Raw genomic sequence first — 21,337 nt, 5'->3', positions numbered from 1 at the left:
TTCTTACAAATCACTAAAGACCCCAAACAGCTTTTGCTTATCTGAGTTACATCTATTGATTTTTACCATAATAGAAACTAAAACTGAGAATTTTCAAAAATATTTATTTACTCATTCAAAAGTAATAACAAGCCTTTTACACATAACATAAATATTTTATGAATATAAATATATTCTACAAAATAAAAGATGAGTACTGAGAAAAGTAGCATTATTTGTCATTTTTTCAAATCTCTTTAATGTCTGCTCTAATAGAAGATAGCTGGATTTCTTGTTGCTAGTTATTGTTTCTGTTGAAGTGTGTGAGGACAATTCAGCCTCGTGGATATATGTAGCTGGAAAAGGAAGATGTGCCTGAGTCATGTTTTCTGATAATTGTGATATTCTTCTTTGTTACTGCATCAAGAGTTGACCAAAAGTGGTAGTTTATTAGAGATTCTTATTACTCATTGGTTAGGTAAGAGCAGACAATAACCAATAGGTTGGGAAATGTAAGGCTGATAAAATTCTAACAACCATATTGAACTCCGTAATTTCTTAAATATTGTGTTTCTATGTGCTAGGCATTATGTTGCGTACCTCACATTTATAAGCTCATTTAATCTTCATGGTAACTCAGTGAGAAAAGTGTTATTATTAATCCCATTTCATGCAAATTAGGAAACTGAGGCATAGAAATTCTTTGAAATGGATTTGCCATTTTGATTTTCAGCTATATTGTTTTACAGGATAACAATTCAAAGTAAAATAAACCTAATATAAAGGATGCATAATAGAACTTCAGAATTATTGGTAAGTATTCATATTGAAGAATCATATTGAAGATTCATAAGGATCATATTGAAGAGTCTAATAATATGCTGGTAAATTTCAAAGGGAAATAGTGTAATTCTCCTTTAGTAGGTCAAATCACTTATTATTCTCTTAATATTCTTCTAACTATATTGTGATGAATGATTTATTTTTAGCTTGTGTTCTAATATAATTTTTCTGAATGTGACATATAAGAATTGCATTAATATGGCTTCTGAATATAATTTTTAGCTAATCCTTGCACTTTTACATGCATTTTCACTTATATTATTATAAAATATCCTTAAATTAACTTTCAGAATCTGTGTCTTGTATCTTGGTAAAGAGACAGCTAAAACAACATTTTGCTTTCCAGGATTGCAAAAGCTCAAGAATATGGAGGTGACAGTTTTGGATGTTATAACAGAAATTTTGGAAGGAGGTGGCAGGCAAGGCATACCATGAGGACACATGATTCCTCTCATTGGTACAGGAAAGGGGGCAACAGGCACTAAGAGAAGCAACACTGTAAGAAACAACTTTGACTGCAGTGAATTTTAATGGTACTTTCTGGATGCTTCCCAGAATACAATCAGCTGAGAAACCTGTGATCAAAAATGGGTATGCTTTCCCAGGTTAATAGATACAGTATTTGTATAATATTTTGGAAACTTACCTGTTATGATATGAGTAAAGAATAAGAAAACAATTGGATGGAATATCCCAGCTGAGATGTATCCGTCAGTTGGTTTTTGATTATAAGTAATTACAACACAGCATACCATGAATATTCCTTTAGATTCAGCACCTATCCTCCTTGTTACAAAATTTTCTGTTCCACATATTTATTGTTTTGTAAAAATAAAGTTAATTGGCAAGGTAACATGTGTCTCCCCATAGAGCACTGTGAATTATTTCTTTGCATTCCTCCATAGACATTTAAAGAACTGACACATTAGTCAAATAAAAGGAAAAACAGAAAGCAACTCCATGGGTTGAACTTCAGTTTGGCAATTGGAAATTCCAATCTGACTACCAGGAAAAAGAAAGAGAGTGGGCAAGATAGTATTTCATGAGACCCAAGCAATGGTATCATGTTTTGCTTTGGTTTCGTTCTGATTTCACCACTTGCACACAATAGAGCAGAAGGGGGAGGAAGACATGGAGTTGAAGAGATGATGTACCAGAGGACAAAAAAAAGAGAGAACGTGTAGTAACAATTAGTTATAACTAGCATTTTTATAAAATTTTACAATTTGCAATTTGTTTAAAATATTTTATTTCACTTTATTCTATACCTCACCACCCAAAAAAAGAAAAAAATCCTGTGGCATTGGTGTGCTGCTATCATTAATATCGCCTTTATAAATGAAAAGACTGAGGTTCAGGTTGAGCGGCATGCTCAAGGTTACACAGCCTATAGAGGCAGAATTCAAATCCAGGCATTCTGATTTCTGATATTGTGGGTTCTCTCAATAGAAAAGGTAGGCCGGATTGTTTCCACAATACATGCTGGAGAAATTCCTATGATGTCAAGTCATTAGGCAGAATGTCCAGAGATAAAGTAAGCCCTCTACCAACCTCTCTACCCACCAGATTTATAACAAATATAAAATATTCATTTTCTCACATACCACCCAGGAAACACCCTGTGAGACATTGGGCTATGGATTCAACCCTGACCATAAGGGGCAAACTTTTCGCAGAAAATAAGAGAGTTGCTAGAGAGCATGTGAGATTAAAACTGCGAGCTTTCCAGTTAGTGTCCTTTCCAGTCTATAAGCAGTGAACCCTCACTGGAGGGAAACAGTCTGCCTAGGCAGTGATCACTTTTCACTTTACTTGCAATTTTGGGATGTCTTTTCTGGGAACAAAAATATGATCTCTATTGTTGTAGAAAGAGTGCAGACCATCTGCTTTTCATATTCAGTGATGACAGAAATGAGGCAAGTATTTTACCTGCAGCAGATGAAGGGTAACTGTGATACAGATGTTCTGATCCAGAGGTAGAGTGGGGAGAATTTCATCCTGGAGGTATTTCAAGGCAACACATTTTATTTATTAGAGATCTTCAGGGTATATTTATTTTTTCTTTTTATTTCTGGTTTTGAAAATTGTTATCCCTACAGTATATTTCAGACAAAAACTCTGGGTATTTTTCTACATAAAGGAGAAAGTTAAATGAAAATAATTATATAAAATTAAGTCAGCTATAACCATGCTACTGTACATGTAGTAGAGGAGGAAAGATGATCTATAATAAATATCAGGGCAGAGGGTCCATTTTAATTTGCTAATTTTCTTACTCTCTAAATGAGAGTAGCTTTAAATAAGCTACTTATAAAGTTCACTTCAGAATATAAAATGTTAATTCCATATCTTGATCTGCCAGGACTAATTGCTTAATAATACCGCCATTAATAATAAATCCTAAATAAACTATTCAAAATAGCTCAATATCTGTATTAGAGACAGAGCCAATAACCCTTACCATTGGAATTTAGAAAAGACACTAATAAAAGGGCAAAGTCACAGATAGATTACAAGTTCAGAGATTTATATTTTAGGGAAAGATATCTAATACCTGTTAATTGGGCCTATATACTGTTTTAATGATACCTGCAGCCTACATTGATAGTATCAATCAGGTATCACTGTAGCCTACAATGATACCTAGATGCCTGTAGCCTTGGGAGTCTGGTCATACCAAATTAATGCAGTGTTTACTCAATAATTCTCTTTATTTTTAGCTGAAACTGCTTTATAACACAGAATTATAAATGCCCTTTATAAATAATGAACGGACAGTGTAGGAAACTCAACTGTTTTGAAGAATAAGCAAATATATTCTCTTCTCAGCTTTCTCTAAATCATAAAAATTATTCTCTACTGTGGATATATAGTATACCACAATGTTTCTTACAGAGTTATTTCTCATAAACTCTCACTATTCTTTATGTTTCTCCGCAGTACAGTACCTGGAATAATGTGGGTACTTAATAGACTTGTGATAATTTTTTCTGGAGACTGCCTCATTTTCTCTACTAAGTTGTCTTGGATTTCAGTTTGTTGTCACATGGCTTGCAGCTAAGACACTGATATGTCCATATGAATTTGACATGAAATACTTTCATCTATGTGTGGCTAATTGCAGGTGCAAAGACACTCAGTTATTTGACAGATCTTTCCTAACCATGGCTAAAAGAAGGCAATTCTGCTCAAGAATGGGAGAACATTACCATTTTTTTTGTTGGGCTGTTTTCTGGAAAAACCACTTGGTGAATATAAATATGAAACTTTTGATAATTTTTCTTTCTTGAAAGTCAAAGGTACAAAGAAAATGTTAAACTTCTTAAATATGGCAGTCCTGTCCATATTAGGATAACTAAATATTAATGGACCAATTCATGTAAAGCAGAGTGAGAGATCATGTTTTCAAAATATTGAAAGGGTTTTAGGCCGGGTGTGGTGGCTCACACATGTAATCCCAGCACTTTGGGAGGCTGAAGCGGGTGGATTATGAGGTCAGGAGTTCGAGACCAGCCTGGCCAACATAGTGAAACCCGGTCTGTAATAAAAATACAAAAATTAGCTGGGCGTGGTGGTGGGTGCCTGTAATCCCAGCTACTCGGGAGGCTGAGGCAGGAAAATCACTTGAACCCAGGAGGCAGAGGTTGCAGTGAGCTGAGACCGCACTATTGCACTCCAGCCTGGGTGACACAGTGAGACTCCATCTCAAAAAATAAATAAATAAAAATTTAAAAATGAAAGGATTTTAAATTCTCTATATCTTACGTTGAGGATTCTAACTAATATTACGATGATATTACTTAAGGATATCTTCCTTAACATTTCCTGTCTATAGGGCAAAGTTGGTAGTATCAGGAATAGTTTAGTATTTAAGCTACTCCCTAGTCTACATATCTAAGTGCATTTTTTGCTTGGAATAGAGGAGATGAAAACTTGTACATTTGTTTAAAAATAATTTTACATTATTCTGTAGTCATATTGAAAATAGCAAGAAAAATACAAATATTATTTTGGCAGTGTGGGTACACTTGTTTTATGGAGTGTATGTATCCTTGAAATAGTCTCTATAAATTAGATAATTTTAAAATGTACCCCTAGAGTTCCCTCTTACATTTTATTCTGTAAGTAATCTTATAAATGAGAGATTCATTAATTACATAAGTGAATATTCATGTCAGTAGGTATTTGGTAGTTTGTAACTTATATATTAAATCTTATTTTTTTGAAGTATGGGTCTTCAAATAAATAATTCCAAAAAAGAGAAAAGAACATGAGATAATAAGAGTCAGGGAAGACTATCTAGTAGGAAAGAAACTTACTTTTGGATGAAAACTATTTCCAGAAAAGAATCACTTAGCGTGTTATTTGTAGCTGTGTTTCCAAAGAGACCAGGAAAATTGTAATCAATGTAGAAAAAGCTTTGGTGTCCTGAAGGTTCACCGACAGTGGATGAGTAAGGCAATTGCAAGGACAAATAGCAGAGACTAGGAAAGATTATCCAAAGGCAGAAATTTTAAAAGTTACTTGACAAGTTTCCTTATCTGCTTGTGTAGTGAAAGGAGACATTTTCTCTGGATTTGAGGGGTAATTACAGATTTATTTAGCTGATTCCATCCCCTTTTGTCTAGTCCGAAGGTAATCTCCTGAGTAGATGTCCCTGCTAGGCAGAACAGGAGATGAGTGAGTGTGTCCATTCATTTGACATTTATATTTAATCCTTTTTATTTCAAATTAATTAGTTGCCTTGATACAATTAGTCTGAGTAGAATAAGCTAGTTTTTTTGAAACCTAATCATATACATTTTATTTACATGTAAATTTACATAACAAGTTGAAAGCTTCTCCTCCCACAATTATTATGTTCCCAGAAATAATCATGTTCAACAGATTGTCATATATGTATACATTTTTTCTTTATCTTTCTCTCTTTATGCACACACACACACACACACACACACACACATTCTCATTTATTCATTCAACAATTGATGTGCTGTTATGAGCCACGTATTGTTTCAGGTGATATATATATACTAGTGAACAAAGTTCCTGCCCTCATGGAACCTATACATTTTTTTGTAAAAATGTAATAATACAATAGATATTCTGCCATAGCCAGATGGTCTTTTACTTAATAATACATCATAAACATTTTTCTACATCAGCACTTATAGTCCCACCATATTCTTTTTTTTTCCATCTATATATCTTGAAATAGTGTATGCTTACCATCTATACGTTTTCACTTTCCATTCATGTCTCAATCCACTATAATCTGGTTTCTTCCCACACCATTCTACTAAAGAATAGCTTATAAGGTCTACATGCTTATTGCCAAATCCAGTTGATGCTGTGCAATTCTCACTTTTCCTGGCTTCTCTATAGTAAGTGATGCAGTTGACTCTAAAACTCTTCTCCACTACTCTAGCTCACAGGGTAGCTGATTTACCTCAGACTCTTTTAATGCTGCTTCTTGCTTTTCTTCTAAATGATGGTATATCCTGGGCTCCATCTATGGCCTTCTCCATTTTGTCTTTAGATGACGACATGAGTTCCCATGAATTCGCCTACTGCCTAAAAGCTAATGAGTCTCAAATCTCTATTTCATAATTAAATTAACTGCATTTTTATGGTAACATTGCATTCCACTATTTGTCATTAAGAAATACCTATCATCTTAACTTTAATGCAGGTGAAAAACCTTATGGTGATCTAATTTCGGTAGCACACCACTCTTTTCTTTTAAATACATTTTATTGTATATATTTAAGGTATACAGCATGATATAATGGGCTAGCCATAAGTACTAAATTAGTTACTATGGTGAAGCAAATTAACACACTCATCATCTCACATAGTTACCCTTTTGTGCATGCATGTGTCAGGAGCAGCTAAAATGTATTCGTCAAATATTTATTTTACTTTATCCTATACATTTCCAAGTGGATATCTGACAGGTGCCTCTAGCTAAATGCAGGGCAGGAATCATTGTCTTCCTATTTATTCCTATCCCTTTTCTGGATTTCTTAACTCAATGCAAAGATTTCCTTACACCCGGCCACCCAGACCAGACACTTTGGACTCATCTTTAACATTTCCTTCTCCCACACTTCCCACATATAGTCTGTAACCCTATCAAATGTCTCTCTTTATAATATCTAATCTTCCCTTTACTGCATCCTCACTGTAACAAATCTCAGTCTTGGATATCATCCTCTATCTCTTAGATTAGGCCACTTCTCCCTGCCTAGGTCTTGTTCCACTCCAATCCATTCTTCACACTACAACCAGAGTTGATTTTTCCAACGCAAAGCTTCGATTGTGTCATTCTCTTTTCAAAAGTATTCTGTGACTTCCTGTGACCTTCACATTAAGTAAGAAAACCTTAGTACAGCTCTATCCTCTAATACAGCACCCTGTCATTGAGCACCTACTTACCTCTATAGACTAGTCAAGATATGTCTGAATCTCTCCCCTTATATTCTAATATTCTAAATTGTTGATCTACAGAGACCCAAATTCTCTCTCACTTTTTGCATTCAAACATTCTGCTTCTCTCACTGAAACACTTTGTCTTCCCTTCAACTCTTCACCTGGATGGCTCCTCCTGCTGCAAAAATCATCTCAGATTCACCTTCCCTTGTGAATGCTCTTTTGTCCAAGTCGTTTCAGCTGCTTGCACTACCTGCTTTCATTCCACACTCACCCAGATACTCCTGAATGCACTGAAACTCAAATGAAACATGGCCCCTTCTGAGAGGTGTCCTGACTCTACTATGAGCACTTATAAAATGCTGTGGTTCTCTACTCTAACACTTAGTCCTGTCATAATAATCCTCTAATGGCTTGTCTGTTTCTCCAATTATACTGAGTTCCTTGAGAGCAGAGACCATCTTATTCACCTGTTGTAATCCCCAAAGCTAGCACAGTGTAGGAGAAGGAGTGTTAAACAAGCAATTAATTCACTTATTCATGAGATTAAACAACTAGGCATATATTTGTTGCCACAGCCCGCCCCACTTTCACCCCTTTCCAGAAGATATAATTAACTGAAAGATAAAATTAAGGCCCATAAATAGAATTTATTTATAGACAAGAGAGTCTTTTGGAAGGCAGTCATAAGCAAACACCTTTCAGAATATGGAAAATTAGTTATATTCTTCCTACATAAATATCCAAGTGATATTTGATTTGTAAACTACAGTCTCTTGCATTTATTTCCTTCCCTTCAAAATATGAATTTCTACTCCACTATTGGCCTATTTTTTACTCGCTAACCATTCTGGACTTTAAAGTCTGCATAAAAGTATTAGTATTCATATTTTATCCCACTTACAAGAGTACATTAAATATGTAATTAGGTTAAAACAATAACATCTTAGACAATATTTTCAGACAAAGAAGAATTCATAGACTATAGTATCCAGCACCCAGTAATACAAATTAATACAAAAAATTATATACCTTCACATATTCTAATGCCAAGCTGAAAGGTCTACTTAGCATTTTTCTTTTAAGTTGGCAGTAAAGTGAGAATGATGGTGATTGCTTTTAACAGATTTGGCAACAACTCTAGGTTTACTATTATTCATGTGGAATTTTCTTCACATGGTAGCCAGACTGTGACAAAAAAACTTACTAAATTTCAAAATTATTTTATTTTTTAGCCAAGGTAATACAAGCATTTGGAATATATTATATGAAAAATCTATTTTTAAACTAATTTCATATTATACAAATAAATGTTAAATATATAATCGATGTTTGTGGAATCTTCCCTATGAAATATCTGTAAATGATATTATAAACTTGGTACTGTGAAGCTGTTCTGATGTTAAATGGAGACGCTTTACTGACACATTGAGCAGTAGTCTTTGACTCATGGATTCTTATAGTTAGGAAGAAGCTTAGAGGTGTAGTACTCTGTTCTCATGCTGCTCTAAGGATATACCTGAGGCTGGGTACTTTATAAAGAAAAGAGGTTTAATTGACTCACAGTTTCACAAGGCTGGGGAGGCCTGAGGAAACTTAACAAACATGGCAGAAGGGAAAGCAAACACATCCTTCTTCACATGGCGGTAGGAGAGAGAAATGAGAGCCAACCGAAAGGGGAAGCACCTTATGAAATCATGGGATCTCATGAGAACTTACTATCACGAGAATAGCATGAGGAAAACTGCCCCCATGATTCAATTACCTCTCACCAGGTCCCTCTCACGACATGTGGGGATTATGGGAACTACAGTTCAGATGAGATTTGGGTGGGGGCACAGCCAAACCATATTAGAGGTCATCTAGCACTTCGTTTCCAATTCAGGAATCCCTTTTACAAAATCCTTGGCAAATGCTTATCTAGCCTGTTTACTATTTTTTTGTTTGTTTATTTTCTTTTTTAGAATGTTATTTTCCACAATGGGTTGAAATCAGCCTCTTTATAATATTGACCATTAGTCCTAATTCTATGCTTTGAAATAAAACAGAGAGGAGTTGAACTATCCACCACTCTCCAGGTTATAAAAGCAACAAATCTAGAAATCATTCCTAATTCTTTTTTTTTCCACTCCTTCTGTACTTCTCTCACTGATTTAGTCCTATCAGTTCTAAATCTAAATATACATTTCATCCATCTACCTCTTTCCATTTTTACTGCCACTAGATGGTAGTCCAAGCCACCATCATCTTTGACCTAGACAAATCTAAACAATCTCTAAACAATCTCTTCTAAACAATTAGAAGAGATTGTTTAGAAAAATTCTTTTCTAAACAATCTGTGTTTCAATTCTCATCTTTCTAAAATCCACTTTCTATACCAGTGGTCTCCAAATTGGAATACATACACCAAAGGGTAATGCAAGATGATTCATTGGGATGCAAAAAGAAATAAAAGAAATTCTACTTACATTTATTTTTATCTCATCCCCTTTAATTTCTATTCTGTGTAAGTTTTATAATGTTCCTAAATTAATACAGTATGCATGAGTGTAATTTATAAATAAGTAAACGTGCATATATTAGGGGAACATGCTTAAATATTGAATACTATTTTTCAGATGTGTTCTAATTAACATAATGGGATTATTACTCGTCAGAATTTGCACACTGCCTTTATATAGATTAATTACAACTATAGCTCTCATTTGTCTCTTGCTTTTTATTAAATTTGTAGTCTGATATATTCAACTTCTCAGATCCATTTATGTAGTCTTATATAGCTGACGTGTAAAAAATGGATTTTTAAATAAAATATCTTTTATTTATCCCAGTTAGATTTTCTTACATCTTGTTTTAAATTTTGAGACAATCTTATAGAAAAATTGCAAGTGCAGCACAAATAGCATTTTTCCTGAATTAAGAGTTAAGAGCCAACGTGATGTCCCATCACCCTCAATACTTTAGTATTTCCTACCAACAAGAGTATTCTCCTGTGTTAGCCACAAAACCATCAAAATCAGGAAGCATTGTTATTCCATTTTAATCCTGAGATCCCATTTAAGTTTTGCCAGTTCTCTAAATACGTTCTTTATTGAAACTATTCCAATTCAAAACCACATATTGCATTTAATTGTCATGTCTCCTTAGTCTCTTTCTTTTAATTCCTTCCAGTTTTTATTTTAGGATCTAGGGGTTTACGTGCAGTTTTGTTACATGGATAAATTGCATGTCACGGAGGTTTGGTGTACAGATATATCGTCACCCAGGTAGTGAGCATACTACCCGATGGGTAGTTTTTCAAGCCTCACCCTTCTCCCACCCTCCATCCTGAAGTGGGTCCTGGTGTCTTTTGTTCCCTTCTTTGTGTTCATGTGCAATCAAAGTTTAGCACTCACTTATAAGTGAGAACATGTGGTATTTGGTTTTCTGTTTCTGTGTTAATTCACTTAGGATAATGGCCTCCAGCTGCATCCATATTACTGCAAAGGACATGATTTTGTTCTTTTTTATGGCTGTATAGTATTCTGTGGGTTATACGTACCACATTTTCTTTATCCAATCTCCTATTTATGGGGATTCAGGTTGATTCCAGGTCTTGCTGTTTTGAATAGTGCTGTGAGGACTTATTTTCTGAGTTGTTTTTCTTTCTTTTCTTTACTTTTTTTCAACTAAATGAAACACTCCTACCTGCCCCACAGACTTGTGGAGGCCAGAGAAGAGCATATCAGTAAAAAAAATTTTCATATTATATTCACTTTCATTAAAGTGTAAGATTATCATTCTTACCCCCAACTAAAGTGCTAACATACAGTTGATTTTTCATTATTTTATTGAAAAAGAATAATAGGCAGCCCTTTCAAATGCTAAATCATTCCTAAGCTATTTACCTAATGCTGATCCTTTTTAAAAAAAGACAATGAAGCTAACTTGGCAGGACTTTTCTTTTTTGACTTTGTCCCATTTGTTATTTTTGAAATGCTTACAAATCACATACTTTAAAAAAATCATTCTCAAATTTTTCTGGGATCAACATAAGTCTCACTATCCGGTTTACAAATCCTTCCTTTCTTTAATTGGAAAGTTAGAACAGATTTGCTTCTCAAGACTTCTGGCATCTTTCCTCTGCTCCTTGATTTTTCAAAAAGTACTGATATTAACTCTTAAAAAGAACAGAGAGTGCATCGGACTTTGCCACTGTTGATCAAGAATCAGTTTCACAGCCTGGTGGGGCAGGTTGAGGGTGCTGGGGAGAAAACCACAACTTCTCTACATCTCTATTTTCTCATCTATAAAATGAACTTAAAAAATCTGACTTCTCACTGTTGCAGTGAAACTTAAATGCAATAATGCATATAAAAAATCTATAAATTAAAAAGCGTTATGCAAATGTTAGTGACACCGATTCAGCATTCTGGGATAATTGTTAAAGCTATCGCTGAATAAATATACCTTCCTTACTAGACTCTGCTCCCTTCCAATGCTTGCAGCAACCCAATATGTATTATTATCCCTATTTTACAGATGAGGAAACTGAGGATCAGAGGGATTAAGTACTTCCCAAAACCATACAGGTAATAAGCAGTGGAGCAAATTCAAACCCAGGTCTGTTTGATTCCAAAACCTACACCCTTAACCCACACCCCAAATTACCTGAAACTTCCTCCTATTCCACCATAGAGGCTGGAACTCATTTAAGCAGGAGCTGCTCTGAAAACCTCTTCCCTGTTATAAGCTGCTGTCAAACTTTTATGTTGCTGGTTTTAAATTTTCCAATTTAAAAACCATTCTACTTTCTAGAGAAGACAGAAACCTCATAGTTGATTAGTAGCTCTGAACTCCTATTTATCTGCAGACGCTACACCATTTTCTGAAAGCAGCAAACCTCTTCTTACTTTCTTTTTTTTCTGCAAACGTTTCCTGTATTTTATGTTTTTCATAAGCCTCTTTTCCTGTTGCCTTTGCCAATAGGTGAGAAAATGACCAATTTAGTTAGAAATGCTTAACTGGTTTACCATTTGATGAATTAAATAGACATTCCAGTCAAATCAATTTTCTGCATAATTATTTTGTTAATAACTGATCCCCATAAATGATTCCCAAAATTTTTACCCGTATAGATGTTTCCCTTTTTAATTTCCTCCAAGTTTCCATTAATGGGTATTTACTAATTTGTCATGTACTTGTGTGAAAAATTAGTTTTTTTTCTAATTTTAGAAAACATTCACTTGTGTCTAAAACATTCACTTGTTAAAAAATTAGTTTTTTCACAATTGAATGTTTTGGATCCTGGACTGGACCAAAAATTATCAAGAACAGGCCAGGTGCAGTGGCAGTACTTTGGGAGGCCAGGGCAGGTGAATCACCTGAGGTCAGAAGTTCGAAATCAGCCTGGCCAACACAGTGAAACGCTATCTCTACTAAAAATACAAAAATTAGCCAGGCTTGGTGGTATGCACCTGTAATTCCAGCTACTCGGGTGGCTGAGGCAGGAGAATCATTTGAACCCGGGAGGCAGAGGTTGCAGTGGGCCAAGATCGTGCCACTGCACTCCAGCCTGGGTGATAGAGCGAGACTGTCTAAAAAAAAAAAAAAAAAAAAAAAAAAAATTATCAAGAACAGTAACAATGCCTTCTAAACTTGGTACTTATGATGTTTATGAAAAGATTATTTCTTTAGGAATTTCTTACATTTTAAATTACCACAATCATGACTATTGCAAAACTGACAGCTAAATGATCAGTGGAGTAAACAGGGTCCATGTGAATGCTGCTTTGCAATAGTGATCAGATATCACTCCAGTGCCCACAGAAACATCAGTGTGTGTTGCAATTAACACTTCAAAAAGCTCATAGTTTCATCATGCTATCATTAAAACATTAAAAATAAATTGAACTATTCATCCAAGGCATGTATAACATGTTGGCCTTTCAGGTTAAATCACTGTGAAAAAAGCTGCTTTTGACCTCAATATTTTTTTTGTAATTTGATTCCAAGATTATTTACATATTTACCCTAACAATTTTCTGCAACCTTAATTTTATTTTCATTTTTATATTTTCTATTTTAAAAGTGTTTTTCAACTTATAACTATAGAATCAATTTTTAAATGTCAGAAACTAACTAGTATATCATGGCCCAAGTGAAAATTCATACACTTGTGTAATAATAACCCCTTCTTGGAAAACGCCCTTGGCAAATACCACTGGAAAGAGAAAAATGCAAGAAATTAACATTCACTTAATTTTTAACATATTAGAAAGTGTTATGCTTTCTTAGACTATTTTATAAGTGATTATAGTTTTTTAAAAAGAGACACTGTGGGAAACATACATAAGGACTTATTACCTGTTGTTTTTGGAAAAATATAATTTGTAGCACTAGCTAAAACATTTATTCTAAAATGATTTTTAAACAATAATGTATTGTGTAGTCAGAAACCTCTATCTCGTTTCAGAGATCTAACAGATTAGAGATTAAGGGCCAGGCACTGTGGCTCACGCCTGCAATCCCAGCACTTTGGGAGGCCGAGGTGGGCGGATCACGAGGTCAGGAGATCGAGACCATCCTGGCTGCTACGGTGAAACCCCGTCTCTAATTTAAAAAAATACAAAAAAATTATCTGGGCGTGGTGGCAGGCGCCTGTAGTCCCAGCTACTCCGGAGGGTGAGGCAGGAGAATGGCGTGAACCCGGGAGGCGGAGCTTGCAGTGAGCCTAGATCACACCACTGCGCTCCAGCCTGGGCGACAGAGCGAGACTCCGTCTCAAAAAAAAGAATGAACTATTGTTTTACAATCAAACAGGAGATTTTTCTCTAATTTTTCCTTGTATTTTTAGTACTTAAGAGTTAGCTTGAAATAAATGATCTCAGGAAACTAGGAGCTAATGATTTAGAAGGCCCCTAGGTTAAAAGCAATAATAATAATAACACTCTGATTCCGTATATCTTTTCTCTTACCTTGTCAGTTTTCAGTCATGTAATTAAGAGATTAAAGTGTATTCAAATTAATTCCACTATAAGAACTTTAAAAGACTTTGAGGCTGGGCACAGTGGCTTCGCACCTGTAATCGCAGCACTTTGGGAGGCCAAGGCAGGTAGATCACTTGAGGTCAGGAGTTCGAGACTAGCCTGGCCAACATGGTGAAACCCTGTCTCTACTAAAAATACAAAAAAAAAAAAAATCTGGGCATGTTGGTGCATGCCTGTAATCCCAGCTACTGGGGAGGCTGAGGCAGGAGAATCGCTTGAACCTGGGAGGTGAAAGTTGCAGTGAGCCGAGATCACGCCACTGCACTCCACCCTGGGTGACGACTAAGACTCCGTCTCAAAAAGACTTTCGAGATAAGTGGCAAAATTTTACTTTCAAAAGTACTGGCTTAGATTGAAATGCATTTCAAATGTTAAATAGGAAGTTAATTAGAGTAAGACTTGTGAGTAAAGAGCAGAAATGCTGAATTGGTCATTTATCATTGGGGTCAATTATAATTTAACAATGATGCCCATAGAAACATTTTTTAATTTAGGGATCATTGTTTTATGTAGAATATCTCTTTTATCCTGCCCTGATAACAATTTTTTTCTCTTTTCTTAAGGTATCAGATACACACCGGACTTCAACATTCTATCATAAGACCTACCCAACCCAACTGTTTACCTCTGGACAATGCCACCCTACCTCAGAAACTGAAGGAGGTTGGATATTCAACGCATATGGTCGGAAAATGGCACTTGGGTTTTTACAGAAAAGAATGCATGCCCACCAGAAGAGGATTTGATACCTTTTTTGGTTCCCTTTTGGGAAGTGGGGATTACTATACACACTACAAATGTGACAGTCCTGGGATGTGTGGCTATGACTTGTATGAAAACGACAATGCTGCCTGGGACTATGACAATGGCATATACTCCACACAGATGTACACTCAGAGAGTACAGCAAATCTTAGCTTCCCATAACCCCACAAAGCCTATATTTTTATATATTGCCTATCAAGCTGTTCATTCACCACTGCAAGCTCCTGGCAGGTATTTCGAACACTACCGATCCATTATCAACATAAACAGGAGGAGATATGCTGCCATGCTTTCCTGCTTAGATGAAGCAATCAACAACGTGACATTGGCTCTAAAGACTTATGGTTTCTATAACAACAGCATTATCATTTACTCTTCAGATAATGGTGGCCAGCCTACGGCAGGAGGGAGTAACTGGCCTCTCAGAGGTAGCAAAGGAACATATTGGGAAGGAGGGATCCGGGCTGTAGGCTTTGTGCATAGCCCACTTCTGAAAAACAAGGGAACAGTGTGTAAGGAACTTGTGCACATCACTGACTGGTACCCCACTCTCATTTCACTGGCTGAAGGACAGATTGATGAGGACATTCAACTAGATGGCTATGATATCTGGGAGACCATAAGTGAGGGTCTTCGCTCACCCCGAGTAGATATTTTGCATAACATTGACCCCATATACACCAAGGCAAAAAATGGCTCCTGGGCAGCAGGCTATGGGATCTGGAACACTGCAATCCAGTCAGCCATCAGAGTGCAGCACTGGAAATTGCTTACAGGAAATCCTGGCTACAGCGACTGGGTCCCCCCTCAGTCTTTCAGCAACCTGGGACCGAACCGGTGGCACAATGAACGGATCACCTTGTCAACTGGCAAAAGTGTATGGCTTTTCAACATCACAGCCGACCCATATGAGAGGGTGGACCTATCTAACAGGTATCCAGGAATCGTGAAGAAGCTCCTACGGAGGCTCTCACAGTTCAACAAAACTGCAGTGCCGGTCAGGTATCCCCCCAAAGACCCCAGAAGTAACCCTAGGCTCAATGGAGGGGTCTGGGGACCATGGTATAAAGAGGAAACCAAGAAAAAGAAGCCAAGCAAAAATCAGGCTGAGAAAAAGCAAAAGAAAAGCAAAAAAAAGAAGAAGAAACAGCAGAAAGCAGTCTCAGGTTCAACTTGCCATTCAGGTGTTACTTGTGGATAAGCACAAATATTTCCTGTTTGGTTAAACTTTAATCAGTTCTTATCTTTCATCTGTTTCCTAGGTAAACCAGCAAATTTGGCTCGATAATATCGCTGGCCTAAGCGTCAGGCTTGTTTTCATGCTGTGCCACTCCAGAGACTTCTGCCACCTGGCCGCCACACTGAAAACTGTCCTGCTCAGTGCCAAGGTGCTACTCTTGCAAGCCACACTTAGAGAGAGTGGAGATGTTTATTTCTCTTGCTCCTTTAGAAAACGTGGTGAGTCCTGAGTTCCACTGCTGTGCTTCAGTCAACTGACCAAACACTGCTTTGAATTATAGGAGGAGAACAATAACCTACCATCCGCAAGCATGCTAATTTGATGGAAGTTACAGGGTATACCATCCGCAAGCATGCTAATTTGATGGAAGTTACAGGGTAGCATGATTAAAACTACCTTTGATAAATTACAGTCAAAGATTGTGTCACCTCAAAGGCCTTGAAGAATATATTTTCTTGGTGAATTTTTGTATGTCTGTCATATGACACTTGGGTTTTTTAATTAATTCTATTTTATATATATATATATGTTTCTTTTCCTGTGAAAAGCTGTTTTTCTCACATGTGAACAGCTTGCACCTCATTTTACCATGCGTGAGGGAATGGCAAATAAGAATGTTTGAGCACACTGCCCACAATGAATGTAACTATTTTCTAAACACTTTACTAGAAGAACATTTCAGTATAAAAAACCTAATTTATTTTTACAGAAAAATATTTTGTTGTTTTTATAAAAAGTTATGCAAATGACTTTATTTTATTTTTATTTCCTGCATACCATTAGAATAATTTTATTTCATTTCTTCAAATTACCAAGCACTGTAATACTATAAATTAATGTAATACTGTGTGAATTCAGACTATAAAAAACATCATTCAGAAAACTTTATAATCGTCATTGTTCAACCAAGATTTTGAATGTAATAAGATGAATATATTCCTTACAAATTACTTGGAAATTCAATGTTTGTGCAGAGTTGAGACAACTTTATTGTTTCTATCATAAACTATTTATGTATCTTAATTATTAAAATGATTTACTTTATGGCACTAGAAAATTTACTGTGGCTTTTCTGATCTAACTTCTAGCTAAAATTGTATCATTGGTCCTAAAAAATAAAAATCTTTACTAATAGGCAATTGAAGGAATGGTTTGCTAACAACCACAGTAATATAATATGATTTTACAGATAGATGCTTCCCCTTGGCTATGACATGGAGAAAGATTTTCCCATAATAATAACTAACATTTATATTAGGTTGGTGCAAAACTAGTTGCGGTTTTTCCCATTAAAAGTAATAAACTTACTCTTATACAAAGTGGACACTGTGGGGAGATACAGAGAAATGGAAGATACGGATCCTGCCTGGAGTAGGTAACCTTGCTTGGAAACCCCACATGCAAACGTCATGAGGAGAATTAAAGGAGTATTATCAGTAATGAAGTTTATCATGGGTCATCAATGAGCATAGATTGGTGTGGATCCTGTAGACCCTGGTGTTTTCTTTGAAGTGCCCTCTCCTAATGCAGAGGCCTTGAAGCTTACAGTATACACTTGAAAAGTCACAGATAGCTAGAATTATGATCTTTGAAGTTATAACTGTGATCTGAAAATGTGTGTGGTGGTATGACAGCATACCATTAAATACATTTACATCACAGCTCAAAGGACTGTGATATAATCCATTTATATCACAACTCAAAGGACTGTGATATAATCCATTTATATCACAGCTCACAGTTTCTGAAAATGTATAAAAGAATCTATAATCTAGTACTGAAATTACTAAATTGGGTAAGATGATTTAAATGATTTTAATTTTAACATTTTATTTCTAGAATATATGGCTCCATTTTATTTTATAGTGTAAAGTTGTATTTCCTAAAGTTTGTGTTTTGTCGACAGTATCTTTTAAATGAGTCTTAAAAATAAAGGCATATTGTTCATGTTTTTCTTTCCTGGTGGCACATAAATGACATGTCTTAAAATAGATGGCATCTTATACATTTTTTAAAAATAGACATCTTTACACTAAAAAAGAGTTCTGAAGAAAGTAAGTTTGGGAGATGCTGGGTTAAAGAACGTCAAAGGAGTCACTTTAATGCAGGTTTTTCTTTTAGAGGAGTTTTTAAAATCTTAGCTTGTATTGTAACCCTGACAGAAGGAAAATGTTATACAGTATTTCATAATTTCACCACAAAACTGCTGTCTGTGGCACAATGCACAGGACTAGGGTTCTGAGGAACTATACTGTTATTGGAAACATAGTGTAAACATAGAATCTTCTAGAAGTTCCTAGAAAGACAAAAAAAGAAGCAAAGAGGCAAATTAGGATTAAGAAATACCAGTAGGCATCACCTATTGTGATGTAATTCTAAGTTCTCTATAAATGATTATAATCTTCTCAGTGAAAATAATTTAGCCCACAGTGTTCTACTGGAAATGGCTTCATGGATGTTGATCACTGTTTTAGAGAGTACCTGCCACCTGCCCAGGGCTCTAGGCAGGATGTGGTTTACAAGAAGTCTCAGTGTCTTGCCCTCAAGAAATTAAAATATAATCTAATAGTCATGTATAAGTCATGAACAAAAATGTTTCTAAAAATGCTGGCAGCAAATCACTAGGGATTTCAAGATGGCCAGGAAGGAAAACACTGTGTCCTTGAGTTTTGTGCCCTAATCACTGATGCCATGTTAATATGAGGAATTCATTCTCAGGTGTTAGCTTCCTAAACTGTGATCTTCAGGATGTGTTTCTAGGCTGCCTGTGGTTCTTTCAAGTGTCAACTGCACCTCTTTTAAACCTCTGATCTTTCTTAGGGTTTCAAAAGAAACTCTCATTAGCTTTGTCAGAAAATAATTTTTGAATATGGCTATGTTTCTGGGTTGAGAAGGGATATAAAAACTTTTTTCCAATGAAAACATCAACAACAAAAATATTTGTAGTACCTTTCAGCCAGTGAAAACATCTACCTCAGGTCTGTCAAATTTCAAGTCTAACTAAAGAACTTGTTTCATCTGTTTTTACATACTCTTTCTTCCTTTTTTCTAAAAATTGAATGGATATTTTTGTTTTCTTGACCAGACCCCTTTTAAAATTCTTAAGAACAGAGGAACACTGTCATTGATAGTTGAATAATAATACTTTTTTGTACTTTCAACATTCCTCTCTGAGAATATACCATATTAGTGCGCACATCTCCACATTATTTCTTTATATTACTGAACAGTATTTTATTATATAGATATGCCATTTTTTATCTTTTCACATGTTAATGGACACTTGGGTTGTTTCCAGGTTTAAGCTAATATAACTAAAAATGCTATGTATTTTCAAGTGCAGGTGTTTCTTGATTTTCTAAGGCACATGAATTTTGCATCAGGATCAGCTTCCTAAGCATTTTATTCATACCATTTTTGAACATACAAATTGTGAATTTGTCAGTAGCAGAATGTGTGATGTTGGCAGGAAAAAATTTCCTTGCCAAAAGCAGCACAATTCCTCTATGGTAAACTAATAGCTAAATTGTTTCTTCATACAATGACTTCATAGAATTCATTCATTCATTCAACAAATACTTGCTGAATCTTACTCTCTCAGGCAATGTTCTAGGATCTTGGGATATATCAGTGTATGAAATGAATAAAAATTCTTACCCTTGGGCAGGTTATCTTCTAGCTGAGTGAAGCAGACAATAAATAATAAACATAACTAATTATAACATTATATACCATATAAAGTAGTGTGAAAAAAGAGTAGATCAGGATAAGGGGAGGATTCATTCTACACCAAGTTTATCCATCCATTCTTTCAGCATTTGTTAAGTGCCCCATGTAATGGTGTGCATCGGGATGTGATGGCAAGTGACATCACGCAGAGTCCTTGCCTTCGGGTAGTGCCCCTACGTTCAGGTGGTAGTGCACATTCTCCTAGAAGATGCAGCCATGAACCCAATAATCAAACACTTCATCTCCACCATCCTCCCACCATGGCTACCCCACTTTCCTGCTTGATCTTTCTCATTAGCATTTAATATCCTTCAGAGTTTACTCACAAGTTTTCCTTGTTGTCTGTTTCATTCCCCTAGAATATAAACTTCTTAAGAAAAGTGACTTCTGTAAGTTCTGTTTACATATGCATGGCCAGTATATAAAATGATGTCCTACTTATACTTAGCACTCAATGTTTTTGAGTGAATACATAAGATAATCACATTTATCCATATGTTCAACCACATTTGCCTAAGTTTCCACTTTCTATTTCTGGTACAGGGATTTCATTGTTGAAAAATAGAACTAATCATCCTTAATACCTTTAACAGCAATGATATGAAATGCAGAAATTTCTAACACTATAAAAAACTAACTCTAATAATGTATAGTTATAGCAACAGGGTGTTACAGCAAAAGTGAAGCAAAAATTACACAAAATTGAGAGCAAATTTTATCTATCATCTTTATTACATAACAGGATAGAACATGATTATTCTAACACTACTTGGAATATTACAGAATACATTAGCTTAAATGAGTTCCCAGAAAAAAATAGATGAGGGCTTAAATTGTCAATAATTTTTTGTACCAAATCGTGAAAGGAAAAAAATATAATTAGAAAATAAACCTCTATGTCTTCATAGAATTATAAAGCCAAATGGAATATACCTCACATCCTTGGGTATTTTATTACAAACCTCTCCAATTTGGCAGAGCAGAAATTCTGCTTTTTTTAAAGATATATTTTTCTTAAATATTTTACTAGTCATAGCATCTCTATGAATTTGGTTGATTCATTGGTTAAACATGGTATTATTTAAAGCACAGAACCTGAATGTTGCCTTTGGGGATTAGGTAGATTTGAACATATTTATCTAACTTTCAATTTCATATCTATGATTTGAAATTGCCTTATGCTCAAATTTACTGCAATCCTATAACATTTTTTGTCAGATGTTTTATGCAATATTAGATAAAATCAATCCCAATAATTGAAAAACAAACAAGAGAATAACAAAGTCTTATTAGAAATGTCTACCTATCCACTCTTTGTAGAA

The 21,337-nt window shown here is 35.3% G+C and overlaps 1 protein-coding gene across 10 annotated transcripts in view; it reads left to right on the top strand.

Annotated features, from left to right (window-relative positions):
• The window catches only part of ARSJ (arylsulfatase family member J), a 79,364-nt gene extending 61,127 nt beyond the window's left edge, over positions 1–18,237 (top strand). For 2 of the 10 annotated variants that reach the window (XM_047416157.1, NM_001354211.2), the window contains exons 5-7: positions 11,776–11,825; positions 14,846–16,212; positions 16,309–18,237. In XM_047416157.1, coding sequence (XP_047272113.1) covers positions 11,776–11,825; positions 14,846–16,212; positions 16,309–16,334 — 1,443 coding nt within the window. In that variant the 3' untranslated portion in view covers positions 16,335–18,237. Of the gene's footprint in view, positions 1–220; positions 793–11,775; positions 11,826–14,845 lie in introns of those variants that run through there. The other 8 variants (XM_047416155.1, XM_017008594.3, XM_047416154.1 and 5 more) reach the window with 5 other exon arrangements.
• The last annotated feature ends 3,100 nt before the right edge of the window (positions 18,238–21,337 follow it).

The sequence above is a fragment of the Homo sapiens genome, chromosome 4, assembly GCF_000001405.40.
Source record: "Homo sapiens chromosome 4, GRCh38.p14 Primary Assembly".
NCBI lineage: Eukaryota > Metazoa > Chordata > Mammalia > Primates > Hominidae > Homo > Homo sapiens.
The sequence above is the reverse complement of the archived record's forward strand: the minus strand, read 5'-3'. Positions and strand labels throughout refer to the sequence as shown.